Source organism: Homo sapiens, chromosome 17 (genome assembly GCF_000001405.40).
Source record: "Homo sapiens chromosome 17, GRCh38.p14 Primary Assembly".
Classification (NCBI taxonomy): domain Eukaryota; kingdom Metazoa; phylum Chordata; class Mammalia; order Primates; family Hominidae; genus Homo; species Homo sapiens.
In genome coordinates, this window is record NC_000017.11 from 71,521,848 (window position 1) to 71,523,243 (window position 1,396).

At 38.9% G+C, this 1,396-nt stretch overlaps 1 annotated feature.

The window, feature by feature from the left end:
* Positions 511-1,045: an enhancer, noted in NCBI's record as "OCT4-NANOG hESC enhancer chr17:69518499-69519033 (GRCh37/hg19 assembly coordinates)". NCBI's record gives its function as "activates a minimal SCP1, AML or CMV promoter by ChIP-STARR-seq in naive and primed H9 embryonic stem cells {active_cell/tissue: H9 hESC(naive and primed)}" and the evidence as "EXISTENCE:reporter gene assay evidence [ECO:0000049][PMID:30033119]".

Genomic DNA, 1,396 nt, shown 5'->3' on the forward strand with positions numbered 1-1,396 from the left:
AGCAATTTAGTCCATAGAACCATGTGAGCATCAAAGACTCACTGGACTTACGTCCGTTTGTAAGTGTCTCCTGTTGTAGTGTATCTGAGTCATAGAGATGTCAGCTAAAGAACACAGATAATGGAGTATGTTGCATACAAAAACTGCAAAATAGCTGGTTCTCCATTTACTAATAGCTGGAAGAGGTCATTCAACTTCCTTTTGCAGAAAACAAATAGAAGATTGGAAAAAAATATTAAAAATTAACCTTATCAGGACACTGGAAAACACCCAAAGGACATGAAAACTGCTAGAGTATTGTAGAGAAAAGAAAGAAAGGAAGGAAGAAAAGAAAGAAAATAGCAAGAGAAGGGAAAAAAAGAAAGAAAGGAGGAAAGGAAGGAAGGAAAAGAAAAAAGGGAGAAAGAGAGGGAGCAAGAAAGGGAGGGAAGAAGGAAAGGAAGAAAGGAAAGAAGGAAGGAAGGAAGATAACAGCACAATAAACTTGTGAGCTTCTTGCTTAGGGTATCTTGGGGTATTTCTATGAAAATTTCCCTGGCCAGAGGTGGTAAAGTTGGTTTTGGGTAGGTTTCAGAGCAAAGAAAAAACAAACAACCACATTAAAAAATGGGCAAAGGACATGGACACTTCTTTAAATAAAGCATGCACATGGCCAATAAACATGAAAAAATGCTCATCACCACTGATCATCAGAGAAATGCAGATCAAAACCACAATGAGATACCATCTCATACCAGTCAGAATGGCTATTACTAAGAAGTCAAAAGAACAATAGATGCTGATGGGGCTGCAGAGGAAAGGGAATGCTTATACACTGTTGGTGGGAATGTAAATTAGTTCAGCCTGTAAAAGCCTTTCACTGTGGAAAGCAGTTTGCAGATTTCTCAAAGAACCGAAATCAGAGCTACCATTCAACTCAGCAATCCCATTCTGGGTATATATCCAAAAGAAAACAAATTGTTCTACCAAAAAGACACATGAACTCAAATGTTCATTGGAACACTATTCACAATAGCAAAGACATGGATTCAACCTAGGTGCCCATCAATGGTAGACTGGCTAAAGGAACTGTGATTACTTCATGGAATACTACACAGCCACAAAAAGAATAAGATCATGCCTTTTGCAGCAATACGGATGGAGGTGGAGGCAACAATTCTAAGTGAATTAACACAGGAACAGAAAAGCAAATACTACATATTCTCACTTATAACTGGGAGCTAAGCATTCAGCACACAGGGACATAAACACGGGAATAGCAGACACTGCGAACTATTAGAGGGAGAAGGAAGACAGAGAGATATGGGTTGAAAAACTACCTATTGAGTACGATGCTCACTATCTGGCTGCAATATACCCATGTATTAAACCTGCCCATGTACCCCCTGTATCTAAA